At 52.3% G+C, this 16517-nt stretch overlaps 2 protein-coding genes and 1 non-coding gene across 13 annotated transcripts, besides 1 other annotated feature; 1 reads left to right on the forward strand and 2 right to left on the reverse strand.

Moving 5' to 3' along the window:
• Positions 435–5173, forward strand: NHERF4 (NHERF family PDZ scaffold protein 4). 11 transcript variants are annotated; one of them, NR_033122.2, is made up of 11 exons: positions 435–470; positions 885–912; positions 1052–1201; positions 1439–1650; positions 2230–2419; positions 2524–2660; positions 2900–3104; positions 3315–3511; positions 3600–3827; positions 3965–4165; positions 4423–5173. NR_033122.2 is itself a non-coding variant. In XM_011543005.3 (11 exons), exons 1-11 carry the CDS (start codon positions 455–457, stop codon positions 4450–4452), a joined length of 1521 nt encoding a protein of 506 aa, XP_011541307.1. In that variant the 5' UTR covers positions 435–454; the 3' UTR covers positions 4453–5173. The 11 variants fall into 11 exon arrangements, 10 of the variants coding, with proteins under 10 accessions (XP_011541307.1, NP_001161940.1, NP_079067.3 ...); XM_011543005.3 differs by having other exon boundaries at positions 882–912; positions 1052–1125; NM_001168468.2 differs by having other exon boundaries at positions 1052–1125.
• Positions 5174–5213: 40 nt separating this feature from the next.
• Positions 5214–10801, reverse strand: DRC12 (dynein regulatory complex subunit 12 homolog). Its single transcript, NM_001145018.3, has 7 exons — positions 10759–10801; positions 10384–10459; positions 9883–9954; positions 8726–8845; positions 8111–8203; positions 5670–5800; positions 5214–5412 (listed from the first exon to the last, which is right to left on the reverse strand). Exons 2-7 carry the CDS (start codon positions 10445–10447, stop codon positions 5260–5262), a joined length of 633 nt encoding a protein of 210 aa, NP_001138490.1. The 5' UTR covers positions 10448–10459; positions 10759–10801; the 3' UTR covers positions 5214–5259.
• Positions 5527–5601, reverse strand: SNORD150 (small nucleolar RNA, C/D box 150). Its single transcript, NR_145809.1, has one exon. It is a non-coding gene; the product is annotated as a small nucleolar RNA, C/D box 150 (small nucleolar RNA).
• Positions 6260–6554: an enhancer, noted in NCBI's record as "tiled region #11099; HepG2 Activating DNase matched - State 9:DNaseU". NCBI's record gives its function as "activates a minimal TATA promoter and a strong SV40 promoter by Sharpr-MPRA in HepG2 cells {active_cell/tissue: HepG2}" and the evidence as "EXISTENCE:reporter gene assay evidence [ECO:0000049][PMID:27701403]".

The raw sequence follows: 16517 nt of genomic DNA on the forward strand, positions 1-16517 counted from the left end.
CAGCGGGGCACGGTGGCTGACGCCTGTAATCCCAGCACTTTGGGAGGCCGATGAGGGCAGATCACCTGAGGTGGGGAGTTTGAGACCAGCCTGACTAATATGGAGAAACCCCATCTCTACTAAAAATACAAAATTAGCCAGGTGTGGTGGTGCATGCCTGTAATCCCAGCTACTCGGGAGGCTGAGGCAGGAGAATTGCTTGAACCTGGGAGGCAGAGGTTATGATGAGCCAAGATCATGCCATTGCACTCCAGCCTGGGCAACAAGAGCTAAACTCGGTCTCAAAAAAAAAAAAAAAAAAAAAAAAAAAAAAAGACTCTCACTCCCGTTAACCATTACCCCACTGCTTCCACAGCGTCTTCAAGGAGGCGGGACCTGGGAGGGGATGGGTGGGAGGATCAGTGGCTGTGATGAACCTTGTCCCTACCCCGGGCACTGGGTTGCTGATCCAGCTATGGAGAAAGCCGCAGGTAGGAGGCCAGGAGAAATCCTCTGCAGGGGACTTTGGGACAGGCAGGGGGCCGACTTGGAGGCTGAAGCTTTGGGACCAGGGCACACTTGATTTTGGGGCTTGGAGCCCTGAGGCAGGTAAACAAGTCAGGAGAAAAGTAATGAGTTGATATGTCTGTCTTCCTGGTCCACACCCTGTACTGATATGCTCAGATTTATGTGCCAAGGACTTGGGGGGAGAGAAAGGGAGGGGACCGCACAATAGTCCTGTGTGTATGGCAGTGAGAAGAGAAGACCCCTTTGGAGCAGAAAGGAGGGGGCATGCCCTGAGTTTGGGGGTTTCCCTGAGTCCTTTTAGTTTATGCCAATGGAAGAGGCACATCTGGGGAGAAGAATGTGACTCTCCTCCTCTCACCCACTTCTTTGCCCAGTAGATCTGCAGGACACAGCCTCGTTAACTCTGTAAGTGCCACGAGGGTTGGGGCAAGGGGAGGAAATAATTGGAGGCAGCGAAGCGCTTCACTGCCATTAGCACCTAAAGGAGATCCTGGGACCCAAGTCCAGCTGCCAGCTTGTACCTGCTTCCCCTGCCTCCTTGCAGGAAGTTTAAGTTTAACCCAAAGCTGGGCATTGATAATCCTGTCCTCTCCCTGGCCGAAGACCACGACCCCTATGGTAACTCCCTCACCCCCTGGCAACCATTCCCTATCCCTGGAGGCACCACGGCTCCACACGGCCTCCGATCTCCTTGGTAACCACTCACTCGGTCTCCCTCTGATAACAGCCTTGGTTGGGAGTAGAGATAGGAGGGGCCGGGTGTTTTCTCCTGTCCCAGTCCCTCTGCCCACGAACCCCACCACCCAACACCCAACCAGGCAGAAACTGCCCAGCACCCTATCAGGACACAGGGTCTGCCAGGCACACGGCGAACCTGTACTTGGGCTGTGCCCTCTCCTCCCCCTTTTCTGCTGCCCACCTCACCCTCCAGATCCCTGGAGCCTGGAGCGGCCTCGCTTCTGTTTACTGAGCAAAGAGGAGGGCAAGAGTTTTGGCTTCCACCTGCAGCAGGAGCTGGGCAGGGCTGGGCATGTGGTGTGCAGGGTGGACCCAGGCACCTCTGCCCAGCGCCAGGGTCTTCAGGAAGGAGACAGGATCCTGGCGGTGAACAATGATGTTGTGGAACACGAAGACTATGCGGTGGTAAGGCTGTGGTCCAGGAGAGCATGCTAGCACCTCAGAAAGAGAAGCGGGTTGCTCAGTCCCCTGGGCAGTATGGCAGCAGGGCACAAGCCTCACTCCCCCACACCCCAGGATTTAGAAGTGCCCAAGTCAGAGGGGTAGGGAAAGCATCTAGAAAGCCGATTCCCGCTGGGCGCAGTGGCTCACGCCTGTAATCCCAGCACTTTGGGAGGCCAAGGCAGGTGGATCACCCAAGGTCAGGAGTTCAAGACCAGCCTGGCCAACATGGCAAGACCCTGTCTCTACTAAAAATACAGAAATTAGCTGGGCGTGGTGGCAGGCGCCTGTAATCCCAGCTACTCGGGAGGGCTGAGGCAGGAGAATCACTTGAACATGGGAGGCGGAGGTTGCGGTGAGCTGAGATCGCACCATTGCACTCCAACCTGGGCGACAAGAGCAAAACTCCATCTCAAAAAAAAAAAAAAAAAAGAAAAAGAAAAAAAGCCGATTCCCTTGGCAAAAAAATGTGGATTCCAGGGAGGTCCTGGGGGTTGGCAAGAGGGTCTAGACCAAACCCACGCCCACGTGCCCTCTGTCCAGGTGGTACGCCGCATCCGGGCCAGCAGCCCTCGGGTGTTGCTGACAGTATTGGCACGGCATGCACATGACGTGGCCCGAGCTCAGCTGGGAGAAGATGCCCACCTCTGTCCCACCCTAGGCCCAGGGGTCCGGCCCCGGCTGTGCCACATAGTGAAAGATGAGGGTGGTTTTGGCTTCAGTGTCACCCATGGTGAGCCCAGAGGGTGCGAGGGGGCGGCAAGGATGAGGGATCTCAGCCCCTGTTCAGGGCAGGCAGGAAACAGACTGGACCTTGCTTTTTTTTTTAATTTCTAGGCAATCAGGGTCCTTTCTGGTTGGTGCTAAGTACTGGAGGAGCAGCTGAGCGGGCAGGGGTGCCCCCCGGGGCCCGGCTGCTGGAAGTGAATGGGGTCAGTGTGGAGAAGTTCACTCACAACCAACTCACCAGGAAGGTGTGACTGCCTGTCTCCCACTCTCCTCCCCCAATCCGGGCCTGGGCCCCACCTCGGGAAGACGCCTCCTTCCCCATGCGCCTAACCTCCTTATCTGGTCTCCTACCTTTATCACCATCCTCCCCCTCTACAGTTTGTGCCAGGCTCCACTTAGTGCCTGGGAGGAGGGGCTGTGGGGGGAGCATACCTCTTCTCTCCCTGCCCAGGTGTTATACTGATGCCCTGCTGGGTCCCCACAGCTTTGGCAGAGTGGACAGCAGGTGACCTTGCTGGTGGCAGGGCCAGAGGTGGAAGAACAGTGTCGCCAGCTGGGATTGCCCCTGGCTGCACCCCTGGCAGAGGGCTGGGCACTGCCCACCAAGCCCCGCTGCCTGCACCTGGAGAAAGGGCCCCAGGGTTTTGGGTTCCTGCTCCGGGAGGAAAAGGGCCTTGACGGTCGCCCTGGTGAGTGGGAGCCCTGGGGGCGGTGGGGGAAGGTGGGCCTTGGGGTGGGCACACAAGCGTATATACACCTTTCAGTGCACCGAAGAGGTGTCCCTGTCTGAGCTCTGGCCCTGGGCCGCCTCTTCCCGTTCACTCTGGGGTCAGTCCCCTGGTGTGTACACAGTGGCCTAGGATAGCTGGAGAGGAGCAGTGAGGATGTCTATGCCCCAGGACAGTTCCTGTGGGAGGTGGACCCGGGACTGCCAGCCAAGAAGGCTGGGATGCAGGCTGGGGACCGGCTGGTGGCTGTGGCTGGGGAGAGCGTGGAGGGGCTGGGCCATGAGGAGACAGTGTCCAGGATCCAGGGGCAGGGCTCCTGTGTCTCCCTCACTGTCGTCGACCCTGAGGCGGACCGCTTCTTCAGCATGGTGCGTGCTGAGGGGCAGGGGCTAGGGTTGGGGCAGGAGTGGGGCAGGGCTGAGGTCCGAAAGATTTGCTCTCCCTGCCACCTTCCAGGTTCGCCTGTCCCCACTCCTCTTCTTGGAGAACACAGAGGCTCCCGCCTCGCCCCGGGGCAGCAGCTCAGCCTCACTGGTTGAGACAGAGGACCCTTCACTTGAAGACACAAGCGTGCCTTCTGTCCCTCTTGGCTCCCGACAGTGCTTCCTGTACCCTGGGCCTGGTGGCAGCTATGGCTTCCGACTCAGTTGTGTGGCCAGTGGGCCTCGTCTCTTCATCTCCCAGGTGACTGATGCCCCATGGATCTTGAATCCCTTCGATCCTTTGCTGCCTGATCGGTCTTCCTCTGCTTCCCTCCCAGAGCCTAAAGCCAGCAAACTTTCCCCCGGTGTCCCCTGTTCTGCATGCCCCCACAACACCAGGTGACTCCAGGAGGCTCAGCTGCCCGGGCTGGGCTGCAAGTGGGAGACGTGATTCTGGAAGTGAACGGGTATCCTGTTGGGGGACAGAATGACCTGGAGAGGCTTCAGCAGCTGCCTGAGGCTGAGCCACCCCTCTGCCTGAAGCTGGCAGCCAGGTCTCTGCGGGGCTTGGAAGCCTGGATTCCCCCTGGGGCTGCAGAGGTGAGGAAGAAGAAACAGATGGGACTGTGAGTAGCTACAGAGGGCAGGGAGGAGTGAGAAAGAAGGGCAGAGTGGGCGAGGTACAAGGTGAAGCCGTGTGGGGTATGCAGGTTGGGACTTCAGGTCGTGGTAGGTGGGGACAGAAGGACTCGTGAAATAAACCCCATTTCTGGGCATTCCAGTGCAGGGCGGGGCAAGAAAAAGGAACTCTTCTGGGTCCCACCTGGAATGACCTTCTACCTCCTCTCTCTGTATAGGACTGGGCTCTGGCCTCGGATCTACTGTAGAGCACCCCTGCTTGGTACAGACATACTCAGGGGCTACCGTGTCTTCACTCTCCAGCCTGAGGTGGTGAAGGCAGGATGCTCTCTCTAAGCCAGACCAGAGGGACTCAGACACCACCGATCACAGGCTGGCCCAGGTGCTCCCTCCCTTCCTGCAGGCCCACCTGCCAGCAGAGGGTGTGGTTGGAGGCCTCAGACAGGTCCCTGAAGGAGTCTGAGGCTCCAGAGGATGTCATATGGGAGTTTTAGAGAGCTGTGTCCCAAGGATGAAGGTGTGGCTGTGGGTCTGGCTAGGATTGAAGCCATCTGGACCTTTTCTAGATATGACTCCAGGACCCTTGAGTGTAATGCAAAAATTTGGAGACCAGCTATGCCTGCCCTCTGTGGGTGCCTTAGCATTGCGGGAGGGTGGTGCTTGGTCACCGTTGCATTTGTTATAGAAATGGCCATTCGCCATAAATCTGACTGCCTGTGTTTGTGTTGGTGGGGGTAAGGGGCAGTGGTGTGAAGGGACCAAAAGGGCCTCAGGCTCAAGGGGTGGGATGCGGCTCCTGCAGGAGAGAGGTTGAGACCTGGTCAAATTTATTTCCTATCAATCACTGAATCTCAGGGATAATGGGTCAACCCAGAACTGAGATGTCTGTATGACAGCCACTCCTAAAAATAAACAACAACAAAAACAAAAAAAGAAGAAAACTAAATAAAAATAAAAATAAAAATAAGATCCACTTCTCTCTGCCAAACGGCCAGAGCCCACAGCTCTATTGAGTTCTACATCAAGACACTTTATTGCTGGGGCCTCAGAGAACACTAGAGACTAGGGGCTGGTGGCCTCAAAGATCCAGGGGGGGTGAGTCCAAACTGGCGTTGCTGCTCCTTGTGCCTGGCGTGAAGTCTCAGTGCTGCCCCATCCCACTGCTGCTTGATGGCTCTCAGCTTGGCCAAGAGCCTGTCCAGACTGTCCTGCAGACATCAATATTTCAGACCCCAGAAAGAGAGAGAGGGAAGGAGTGAGTGCTGCCCCAGGTTGGTTCATAAGCTTTCCTTGCCCAGTAGACATGGTCGTATCCCCTCTGTCTGCCCTCAGGATAGAGCAGGGCTCCCTTGGAGACGCTCCTTCTCCTTAACCCTGGGTTGTCAGTCATCATACGAGCTGGGGTTTGTGGGCATGGGGGAGTCCTGGGTACTGGGATGGCTGGGATCCAGGGGGTGGTGCTTACGTGTAAGATTTCCTCATACTTCGCCTCCATGTCTGCCATGTGGGCCCGAAGCTGAGCCAGGGCCTGGTCCCGCTCTCCGAGAGCTTGTTCAGCCTCTTCCCGGGCAGCTGCAGCCTCCCTTTGGCATGCCTCTGGGGGCAGGCAGGATGAAAGAGAGCAGGATGGTGACACTCTATCCTTGACCAGTCTCTCCAAAGGTATCTGGAAAGGAGACCTCAAATGGGCTCGTTCCAGACTCCCCCAGCATCACCAAATTTCCCGCAGTCCCTGTAAAAGCTGAAGCTCCACTGAGGTATATAGCAGAGAGTGGCGGGCTTGAGATAGAAGGCTCCAAAGTCGGATTACTACCTAGGTGACCACATGCATGTCTCTTTCTGAGCCTTGGTGTCTTCATCTTTTTTTTTTTTTTTAGATGGAGTCTCACTCTGTCGCCAGGCTGGAGTGCAGTGGCGCGATCTCAGCTCACTGCAACTGCCACCTCCTGGGTTCAAGCAATTCTCCTGCCTCAGCCTCCCGAGTAGCTGGGATTACAGGCACATGCCACCATGCCCAGCTAATCTTCGAATTTTTAGTAGAGATGGGGTTTCACCATGTTGGCCAGGATGGTCCCTATCTCTTAACCTTGTGATCCGCCCGCCTCGGCCTCCCAAAGTGGTGGGATTACAAGTGTGAGCCACCGCGGCTGGCTGGTGTCTTCATCTGTAAAGAGAGAATGACACATCCCTCAGGGGCATGCTGTGACCTTTAAACATGATAAATGGATGACAAAGCACCTAGCTAGTATACAGGAGGTGCTCAGTAAACATTGATTCATTGGCCGGGTGCGGTGGCTCACGCCTGTAATCCTAGCACTTTGGGAGGCCGAGGAGGGCGGATTACCTGAGGTCAGGAGTCCGAAACGAGCCCGGCCAACATAGGTGAATCTCCATCTCTACTAAAAATACAAAAATTAGCCAGGCATGGTGGCGCACACCTGTAATCCCAGCTACTCGGGAGACTGAGGCAGGAGAATTGCTTGAACGTAGGAGGTGGAGGTTGCAGTGAGCCGAGATTTGCCATTGCACTCCAGAATGAGCGACCAGAGTGAAACTCCGTCTCAAAACAAAAAACAAAAAACAAAAAAATCCCCAAAACAACAACAGCAAAAACAAAAACAATTGAGTCATTGATTGACTTGGAATTTGAGGTAAAGCAAAGATTAGGAAAGGAACCCAGAGTCTGAATGGCAGATAAGCAGCTCCTGGCCATCTATAGCTAAACCGAAGGCCTTTTTTTTTTTTTTTTTAGTTGGAATCTTACTCTGTTGCCGAGGCTGGAGTGCAGTGGTGCGATCTCGGCTCACTGCAGCCTCCGCCTCCTGGGTTCAAGTGATTCTCCTGACTCAGCCTCCCAAGTAGCTGAGATTACAGGCACACGCCACCATGCTCAGCTAATTTTTGTAATTTTAGTAGAGATGGCATTTCACCATACTGGCCAGGCTGGTCTCAAACTCCTGGCCTCAAGCAATTCTCTTGCCTTGGCCTCCCAAAGTGCTGGGATTACAGGGGTGAGCCACCGCACCCGGTTGAAGGCATTTTTAAGGTATGAAAACTTTGAGACCAAAATTGTGAAAGAGCTCATGTGTCATGCTGAGATATTTCAACATTATTTTGTAAGCAAGAGACAAGAGAAGCAAAGGCTTCCTGGTTTTTAAAAATATTTTTGCTTATTAGGAGTGTTTATTCATTTATTTGGTGAACAGTTATTTAGGATCTACCAGATGCTAGGTCTTGAAGATACAGAAGTAAATAAGTCAAACATTTCCCCTTAGTTTCATTGTAGAAATCAGCTAAACTAAAAGGGAATATGTTTTGCTCACAAGAGACATGGCAGTGGTGGGGAGTTAGGGCTGGACTTGAGAGGAGGAAATGGGGTGTGAGGCCTACATCTTCTTTTTTATTTTTATTTATTTTTTTGAGACAGAGTCTTGCTCTGTTGCCCAGGCTGGAGTGCAATGGCGTGATCTCGGCTCACTGCAACCTCTGCCTCCTGGGTTCAAGCGATTCTCCTGCTTCAGCCTCCCGAGTAGCTGGGATTACAGGTGTGCGCCACCACATCCGGCTAATTTTTATATTTTTAGTAGAGACGGGGTTTTGCCATTTGGCCAGGCTGTTCCTGGACTCCTGACCTCAGGTGATCCGCCCGCCTTGGCCTCCCAAAGTGCTGGGATTACAGGCCTGAGCCACCGCGCCTGGAGCCTCTTCTTTACTTACAGCAGAGATTTTTGGTATCCCGAACCCTCTGCTGCAGTCCTCAGTGGTGGAGGGTCAGCGAAAGTGGGGAAAGTGATCCAAGAGCCCAGACGGCAGCTTTCTGGAGCAGAGACTTTGAAGTCTACCCCTTCATGCTGGCCCTTGCTGCAACTCTTGGAGAGAAGGGGCTTGGAGGGTGGGGAAACCTACCTAGCTGCCCCCGAAGGCCTTTGACTTCTTCCTCCAGCTGCTTGCTGCGGGTTTGCATATCCTCCTGCAGGGCATGGCACTGGCGACTCATCTCTGGGGTGGGGGCAGTGGGCCACCAGGGACCCAGGTTGGAGATGGAGGGATGGAGAAAGGAAATGAAGTTGTGGGTGGGGAAGACTCTACTTGGTCTAGTGGAACAGGAGCACAAAGGCCTTCTTGGTTCTTTTTGTGATTCTGAGAAGCTGCAGACCATGAAAACCTGAGGAAGGGACAGGAAGCCCGACCTACCTCCCCCAGTCCAGCTTTGGATGGGGATGCTAGCCCTTCTCCCCGCCCATGGGCTGATTGAGATGATGGCTATGACTGCATGTGTATCCTACACAGCATCAAGCACATGGCACCAGGCATCCTGGAAGGCCCCTGCCTGGGATCCCAGGAACCTACCTGCCTTTGGTTCCTGCAGGATCCTTCCTGATTTGTACTGTTTGGGAAAGACCAAGACCAGGCCTGGCAGTCGGAAGCCCTCCTTGTTTCCCTTCCTTGCATCAACTGACCCTGTTGGTTGTCCTCCTCCAAGCCCCTGTCTCCTGCCCACCTGCTTAACCGACCACACACCTGCATATATGGCCTTCCCTTCACTTCGGGCCCCTTCCAGCTCAGCCTCCACCCCTTGCAGCCTCTGCCTCAGCTGGTCTTCGGAAGCCTTGGCTCGACGGGCTTCATCCCTCCGTAGAGCTGTGAGCAGTCCCAGAGCCGCCGTCAGGACTGGCTGGGTCCCACTAAATCAGCCCCCATGAACGTGATGGACTTTGCCCACCTCTAGAAATCTGGTGGTGGGGTGTCCAGCCTCTTACTCTCTCTCTGGGTTTTGTTGTTTTTGTTTTTTATCCCTAGAGTCTCACAGGCTCCTCATTATTAAGAAGTAAAAACTCCCTCTATGTTCTTTTCGGATAGCCTGGCATGGTGGCTCATGCCTGTAATCCCAATATTTTGGGAGGCTTAGGTGGGAGAATTGCTTGAGGCCAGGAGTTTGAGACCTGCCTGGGCAACAGAGTGAGACCTTGTCTCTATAAAATAAATAGGGCCAGGCGCGGTGGCTCACGCCTGTAATCCCAGCACTTCGGGAGGCCAAGGCTGGTGGGACACAAGGTCAAGAGTTCGAGACCAGCCTGGCCAACATGGTGAAAACCCGTCTCTACTAAGAATACAAAAATTAGCCAGGTGTGGTGGCCACGTGCCTGTAATCCCAGCTACTCGGGAGGCTGAGGCAGGAGAATCGCTTGAACCTGGGAGGCAGAGGTTGCAGTGAGCCGAGATCACACCACTGCACTCCAGCCTGGGCGACAGAGCACAAGACTCTGTCTCAAAAAAAAAAAAAAAAAAAAAAAAAAAAAATAAATAAATAAAGTAGCCAGGCATGGTGGTGTGCACCTGTAATACCAGCTACTCGGGAGGCTGAGGCGGGAAGATTGTTGCGGCCCAGGAGTTAGAGATTACAGTGGACTATGACCATACCACTGCACTCCAGCCCGGGCAATAGAGCAAAATTCTGTCAAAAAAACCAAAAAAAACAAAAAACAAACAAACAAAAAAAACACCTTCCTTTATCAACTCTCACTGCCCACCCTCTCTCATCATCTTTTTCCACTAGGGGATGGTTAGGGTCAACTTAACCCCCCACCATACCTCCAACTCTCCAATCCCCCAGGATACAGAAATGCCCCATTTCACTTCCCCTGTTGCCCACCCATGCCAGCTTCTACCCTCCTTACCCAAGTGGTCTCGGAGCAGCTCCTTCTCCAGCACCACCAGCCTGTGCCTGGACTCGGCCACCACATCTGCACCTGCGGTGGCAAGTGGCAGAGCCTCAGCTCTTCATGATCTCAGCATTCCTCACTCTGCTCACATCCTCACCCCACACCCTGCACTTTTGCCACAGCAGACCTGAGGACCACTAAATGAGGTATCCACAGTGGCAGAGTCTACTGAAGTCAGCACCGTGTCCTCACCGACCAGCACATAACAGATATGCAAAATACACATGACAAATATATTAGGAAGGCACAGAGCTAGATGGGGCTTAAAGGAGAGCGTGGGTGACCATTTCCCCACTTCCTCAGCTCCCTGGATCTGGCTGTGAGGACATGAAAGAGGTAGGTCAAGAGAGCTCCATCCTGTCCTGCAGAAGGCTGAATTCTCTCTGGAGGAGCTCTGCGTGGTCTTCATGGCAGAACATGGAGAAGCAGGGGGCACCTCCACCCACCATGACTCACCCCAGTTCTTTTTCTTCTTCTGTGCCCCAGATTTCTTCCCTTTTTCTTTGTTTTTAGGTGGCATCTCCTTGCTGTCCTGGGAGAAGGAGGGGACCTTATGTTTAGGTCTGGACACAGGGATGCTTTCCTGAGCTTTAGACTGAACCAGGAGACTCTCCTGAGTCCAAATTTGTCTCTCATATCCTTCAGAAAAGTCAGTTCACAGTCTCTTTGGAACCTCAGACAGGGTTGGGGTCAGTGGGGAGGATGGAGTTTTTTCTCTCAACCAGGCTGACTCTGTACAGAAGTCATTCCTTGCAACTCTCTTTTAGAGAAACGAAATCCCTGTACCTGCTCCCCTCCCTCTTCCCATCATCCTCAACCCTCACTTCCTACCTGTAGGATCCTCTCCTGCCAGCGTTGGGGCTCCCCGTGGAGTGACCCACTCGTGGGGAGTGGCAGAGAGAAGGCCCAACTAGCGAGGAGCCTGAGGCGGGGCCTGGGTCCTGGGAGCCAATCCTTGGTGGCAAATTTCTCTTGAGGGCAGGACTGAGGGCTGGAAGGTTGGGTTTCCAGAGGCTGTATGTTGTCCAGGCAACTGGGAAACATGGAGTTCACAGGAAGGTGGAATGGGCTAAATCAGCTCACAAAGTTTAAAATATCAAGGTCTCAAAGGGTCAGTTCTTTCCTTATCCCAAAATCCTAAGTATAGTTTGAAAAGAAAGGGCTTTGGAGGTCGATTAGTTATGATTCATTGCCATGTAGACATGGCCTGCAATTTGGAGACTTCCAAATTCAGATGTACACATCTGAGATAATATGTGGTGCTGATACAGAGGAAAAGGACTGACAGTAGCCATGTTGGACAACTGACATCCCGAGGTCCCACCAGCAAAATGACATTAGTAGGCTTAAAACTGAAGATCTAAGCTGGGGCGGTGGCTCGTGCCTATAATCCCAGCATTTTGAGAAGCTGAGGCAGGAGGATTACTTGAGGCCAGGAGTTCGAGACCAGCCTGGACAACACAGTGAGACCTCATTTCTACAAAAAAATTAAAAAATTAGCCTGGTGTGGTGGTGCACACCTGTAGTCTCAGCTACTTGGGAGGCTGAAGCAGGAGAATCACTTGAGCCTGGGAGGTTGAGGCAGCAGTGAGCTATGATTGCACCACTGCACTCCAGCCTGGATGACAGAGGGAGACCCTGTCTCAAACAAACAAAACTCCCAGACCACCGAAGATCCTCTTCAGTACACTGTAGAATGAGGGTAATAAGTGCAGGAATAGGTAGTCCAGGGAGTTTCCCACTTCAGAGAAATGAGACGCAGAGGAATAGTGGACCCATGGACTCTAGGGTACTGACCTAGAGGGATGCAAGTGTGGAGGAAAGAGCTCAGGTTAGAGACAAGACATGTGAGTTTGAGTCCCAACTGTGGATATGTAAACTGAGGCGAGCCATTTGACTTTGCTCAGCATCAGTTTCCTGATCTTTAATTGTTTGATTTTGCAGCTCTTGAAAAGCCTGTGTTTTAGCTGCGTGTTTACATGGCTATCTTCTCTCCTAGTGACTTAATCTATTGCTACATTTCCCCATTCCCTTGTGTGGTTGATTTTCAGACAGGTGTTGAGACATTGCTTTGTGAGGCTCCCTGTAGCATAGAGTTGGTTGGGGCTCCCTCTAGTGGACTTGTTTGACCTTCTCCTGAGTTTCCTACATTTTTGCTTTTAAATTATTTACTGGGCAACAGTGGGGGTGACTCCCTTTGGGGATACTTCTTAGCGTCCTGTTTGAGCCAGGAGTGGCTGGAAGAATTAACATTGGGGAGAGAGTATGATGGGTGGCCCTCCCTTGTCAGGCAGCCCTCACTTTCCCTCCAGCTCTGTGCTATCCTGGAGGCTTGCCATTTATCTGCCACTTGGATCTCTGGGCACCATACTGGTTAGAGTGAAAATAGCAAAAACTTCAGGACTTTTCTCCTTTTGGATTAGGGGACCTGCAGACCCTTTCTTTTCTTTAGGTTTCTTTTTTTTTTTCCCGTGTCTCTCTCTGTCACCTAGGCTGGAGTGCGGTGGCATGATCACGGCTCACTACAGCCTCAGTCTCCCTGGGCTCTGGTGATCTTCCCACCTCAACTTCCTGAGTAGCTGGGACTACAGGCGCATGCCACCACACCTGGCCAATTTTTGTATTTTTTGTAGAGATGGGGTTTTACCATGTTGTCCAGCATGGTCTCAAACTCCTGGCCTCAAGCGATCCACCTGCCTTGGCCTCCCAAGGTTCTTGGATTACAGGCGTGAGCCACTGCACCAGCCTATCTTTTTTTTTTTTTTTCTTCAGACAGAGTCTCGCTCTTGTTGCCCAGGCTGGAGTACAGTGACGTGATCTCGGCTCACTGCAACCTCCACCTCCCAGGTTCAAGCAATTCTCTGCCTCAGCCTCCCAAGTAGCTGGGAATACAGGTGCCCACCACCACGCCTGGCTAATTTTTGTATTTTTAGTAGAGATGGGGGTTCACCATCTTGGCCAGGCTGGTCTTGAACTCCTGACCTCGTGATCCACCCGCCTTAGCCTCCCAAAGTGCTGGGATTACAGGCGCGAGCCACTGTGCCCGGCCTTCTTTAGGTACTTCTCTTCATCTCTGTCACCCTCAATATTTTTGGTCCATTGCCTATTGTCAGGAGCAGATCTGTAGAAATAGCCACAAGAGGCTGGGCGCGGTGACTCACGTCTGTAATCCCAGCACTTTGGGAGGCTGAGGCAGGCAGATCATGAGGTCAGGAGTTCGAGACCAGCCTGGCCAACATTATTAAACCCTGTCTCTACTAAAAAATACAAAAATTAGCTGGGCATGGTGGCACGTGCCTATAATCCCAGCTACTGGGGAGGCTGAGGCAGCAGAATCGCTTGAACCCAGGAGGAGGAGGTTGCAGTAAACAGAGATTGCGCCACTGCACTTCAGCCTGGGCAGCAGAGCAAGACTCCATCTCAAAAAAAAAAAAAAAAGCCACAAGATCTGGAATTGAAAAGTCCTTCTTCTGGGTAGTGGGTAACTTTAGGCAGAGGCTGGTTCATGCTTGTCACCTTGGTGGCTGCACGGCACTTACATGAACTTCCGGGCATTTTACAGAGCAAAGAGAAGAGCCAGTCTTGACTTCCCAAGTGCTTCCAGCTCCTGTAACTCAGAGTCAACTAATCTTGTGGACATCTCCCAAATCTGGAGGATATTTTTCTTCTAATCTTTTATTTATTTATTTTTGAAGCCAGTGGAATTTAGTAGTGGGCGCCTGTATACCAACTTTAGTGACTATAAACCAAAAATAAAATTCTAAGCCTGCCAGCCATCTGAGTGGACCCCTCCTCTAGGCCAAGGGCTTTCCAAAGTGAACCTGAAGAACTAGTTCAGGCCGTGATGGGAAGGGGGAGCCGGACATGCCTCAACATACCCTCCTCCCTTTTAGAATTACTGATAGAACACACTCTTTAAATCTGATAAGAAACATTTACAGGCCTGGTGGCTCATGCCTGTAATTTCAGCACTTTGGGAGGCTGAGGCGGGCAGATCATTTGAGGCCAGAAGGTTGAGACCAGCCTGGGCAATGTGGTGAAACCCCATCTACACAAAAAATACAAAAGTTAGCCCAGTTTGGTGGTGTGCATATGTAGTCCCAGCTACTTGGGAGGCGGAGGTGGGAGGATCACCTGAGCCTGGGAAGGTTGAGGTTGCAGTGAGCCATGATCACGTGACTGCACTCCAGTCTGGGAAATGCAGTGGCACCCTGTCTCAAAAAATAAAAAGAGAAAAGATAAGAAGAAAAAACATTTACAATCAATTCTCTCTGAGGCCTGCTACCTGGACGCTTCATCTACATGATAAAACCTTGGTCTCTTGCCGGGCACGGTGGCTCACTCCTGTAATCCCAACACTTTGGGAGGCCAAGGCAGGTGGATTCACCTGAGGTCAGGAGTTTGAGACCAGCCTGCCCAACGTGGCGAAACCCTGTCTCTACTAAAAATACAAAAAATTAGCCGGGTGTGGAGGCGGGTGCCTGTAATCCCAGCTACTTTGGAGGCTGAGGCAGGAGAATCGCTTGAACCCGGGAGGTGGAGGTTGTGGTGAGCCGAGATTGCGCCACTGCACTCCAGCCTGGGCAACAAGAGCAAAACTCTGTCAAAAAAACAAAAACAAAAACAAAAAACCCTTGGTCTCTGCAACCCCTTATTGTAACCCAGACATTCCTTTCTATTGATTCCAGGTCTTTAGATAATAACTCTTTCAAGCAATTGTCAATTGGAAAATCTTTGAATCCACGTATGACCTGGAACCCTAACTCTAACCCTAATTCTCTTGCCCGCTTCTTCGCTTCCAGTTGTCCTGCCTTTCTAGACTGAACCAATGTACATCTTACATATATTGATTGATGTCTTATGTTTTCTTAAAATTTATATATAAAGCAAGCCGGTGCAGTGGCTCACGCCTGTCATCCCAGCACTTTGGGAGGCCAAGGCAGGTGGATCACCTGAGGTCAGGAGTTCAAGACCAGCCTAGCCAACATGGTGAAACCCTGTCTCTACTAAAAATGCAAAAAATTAGCCAAGCATTGTGGTGGGCGCCCATAATCCCAGCTACTTGGAAGGCTGAGGCAGTAGAATCTCTTGAACCCGGGAGGCGGAGGTTGCAGTGAGCCGAGATCGCGCCATTGCACTCCAGCCTGGGCAACAAGAGTGAAATTCCGTCTGAAAAAAAAATGTATAAAGCCAAATTGTAGCTTGTTCACCTTCGGCACTTGTTCTCAGGATGTCTTGAGAGTTGTGTCACGGGCCATTGGTCACTCATATTTGGCTCAGAATAAATCTCTTCAAATATTTTACAGAGTTTGACTCTTTTCTTTGACATGACACTAATGTTAATAAGTTCTGATAACCCAGTACCATCAGACCAGCTTCTTCTAATCTTGAGCATGTTTTTCATTTATTCTCCCTCCACCACCTCCTTCTCCTGTGCTGTAATGCAGTGGGGGTACCTGTCCCTGTCCTCCTCATCTAGAAGCCTGTTTGGGAGGTTTTTCTTTCTTTCTTTTTTTTCTTTTTGAGACAGAGTCTCGCTCTGTGGCCCAGGCTGGAGTGCAGTGGCGCGATCTCGGCTTACTGCAGCCTCAATCTCCTTGGCTCAGGTGATCCTCCCACCTCAGCATGGTGGGACTACAGACGCACACACTGCTCCCAGCTGGGAGTACAGTAGCTGGGACTACAGACGCACACACTGCTCCCAGCTAATTTTTTGTTTGTTTGTTGTTGTTGTTGTTTGAGATGGAGTCTCGCTCTTGTTGCCCAGGCTGGAGTGCAGTGGCGTGATCTTGGCTTGCTGCAACCTCCACCTCCCAGGTTCAAGCGATTCTCCTGCCTCAGCTTCCCCAAGTAGCTGGGACTACAGGTGCTTGCCACCACGCCTGGCTAATTTTTGTATTTTTAGGAGAGACAGGGTTTTGCCATGTTGGCCAGGCTGGTCTCAAACTACTGACCTCAGGTGATCTGCTTGCCTCGGCCTCCCAAAGTGTTGGGATTATAGGCGTGAGCCACTGCGCCCGGCCTATTTGTTTTTTTGAGACAGTCTCACTCTTTTGCCCTGGAGTGCAGTGGTGCGATCTCAGCTCACCGCAACCTCCGCTTCCCGGGTTCAAGAGATTCTTGTGCCTTAGTCTCCAGAGTAGCTAGGATTACAGACATGTGCCACGACATTCAGCTAATTTTTGTGTTTTTGGTAGAGATGGGGTTTCACCATGCTGCCCAGGCTGGTCTCGAACTCCCAACCTCAGGTGATCTGCTCGCTTTGGTCTCCAAGTGTCAGGGGTGTGTGAACCAGAGTAACTCCACCTTGAAGAGGAGCTGGGTAAAATGAGGCTGAGAACTACTGGGCTGTGTTCCCAGAAGGTTAAGGCATTCTAAGTCACAGGATGAGATAGGAGGTTGGCACAAGATACAGATCATAAAGACCTTGCTGATAAAACAGGTTGCAGTAGAGGAGCTGGCCAAAACCCACCAAAACCAAGATGGCGACGAGAGTGACCTCTGGTCGTCCTCGCTGCTGCACTCCCACCAGCGTCATCACAGTTTACAAATGCCATGGCAACATCAGGAAGTTACCCTGTATGGTGTAA

The sequence above is a fragment of the Homo sapiens genome, chromosome 11 (assembly GCF_000001405.40).
Source record: "Homo sapiens chromosome 11, GRCh38.p14 Primary Assembly".
Taxonomy (NCBI): Eukaryota; Metazoa; Chordata; class Mammalia; order Primates; family Hominidae; genus Homo; species Homo sapiens.

Bases quoted from the DNA above. Each gene is read 5' to 3' on its own strand.
- NHERF4 (XM_011543002.3), top strand. From the start codon at position 1,123: ATGGTAACTCCCTCACCCCCTGGCAACCATTCCCTATCCCTGGAGGCA. The intron at 2,420-2,523 runs GTGAGCCCAGAG...TTTAATTTCTAG, and splicing joins TGGCTTCAGTGTCACCCATG to GCAATCAGGGTCCTTTCTGG. The intron at 3,828-3,964 runs GTGACTGATGCC...CCACAACACCAG, and splicing joins CTCGTCTCTTCATCTCCCAG to GTGACTCCAGGAGGCTCAGC.
- DRC12 (NM_001145018.3), bottom strand. From the start codon at position 10,447: ATGCCACCTAAAAACAAAGAAAAAGGGAAGAAATCTGGGGCACAGAAG. The intron at 9,955-10,383 runs GTGAGTCATGGT...TTGCCACCGCAG, and splicing joins GAAGAAGAAAAAGAACTGGG to GTGCAGATGTGGTGGCCGAG. The intron at 5,413-5,669 runs GTAAGCACCACC...TGATGTCTGCAG, and splicing joins AGTATGAGGAAATCTTACAC to GACAGTCTGGACAGGCTCTT.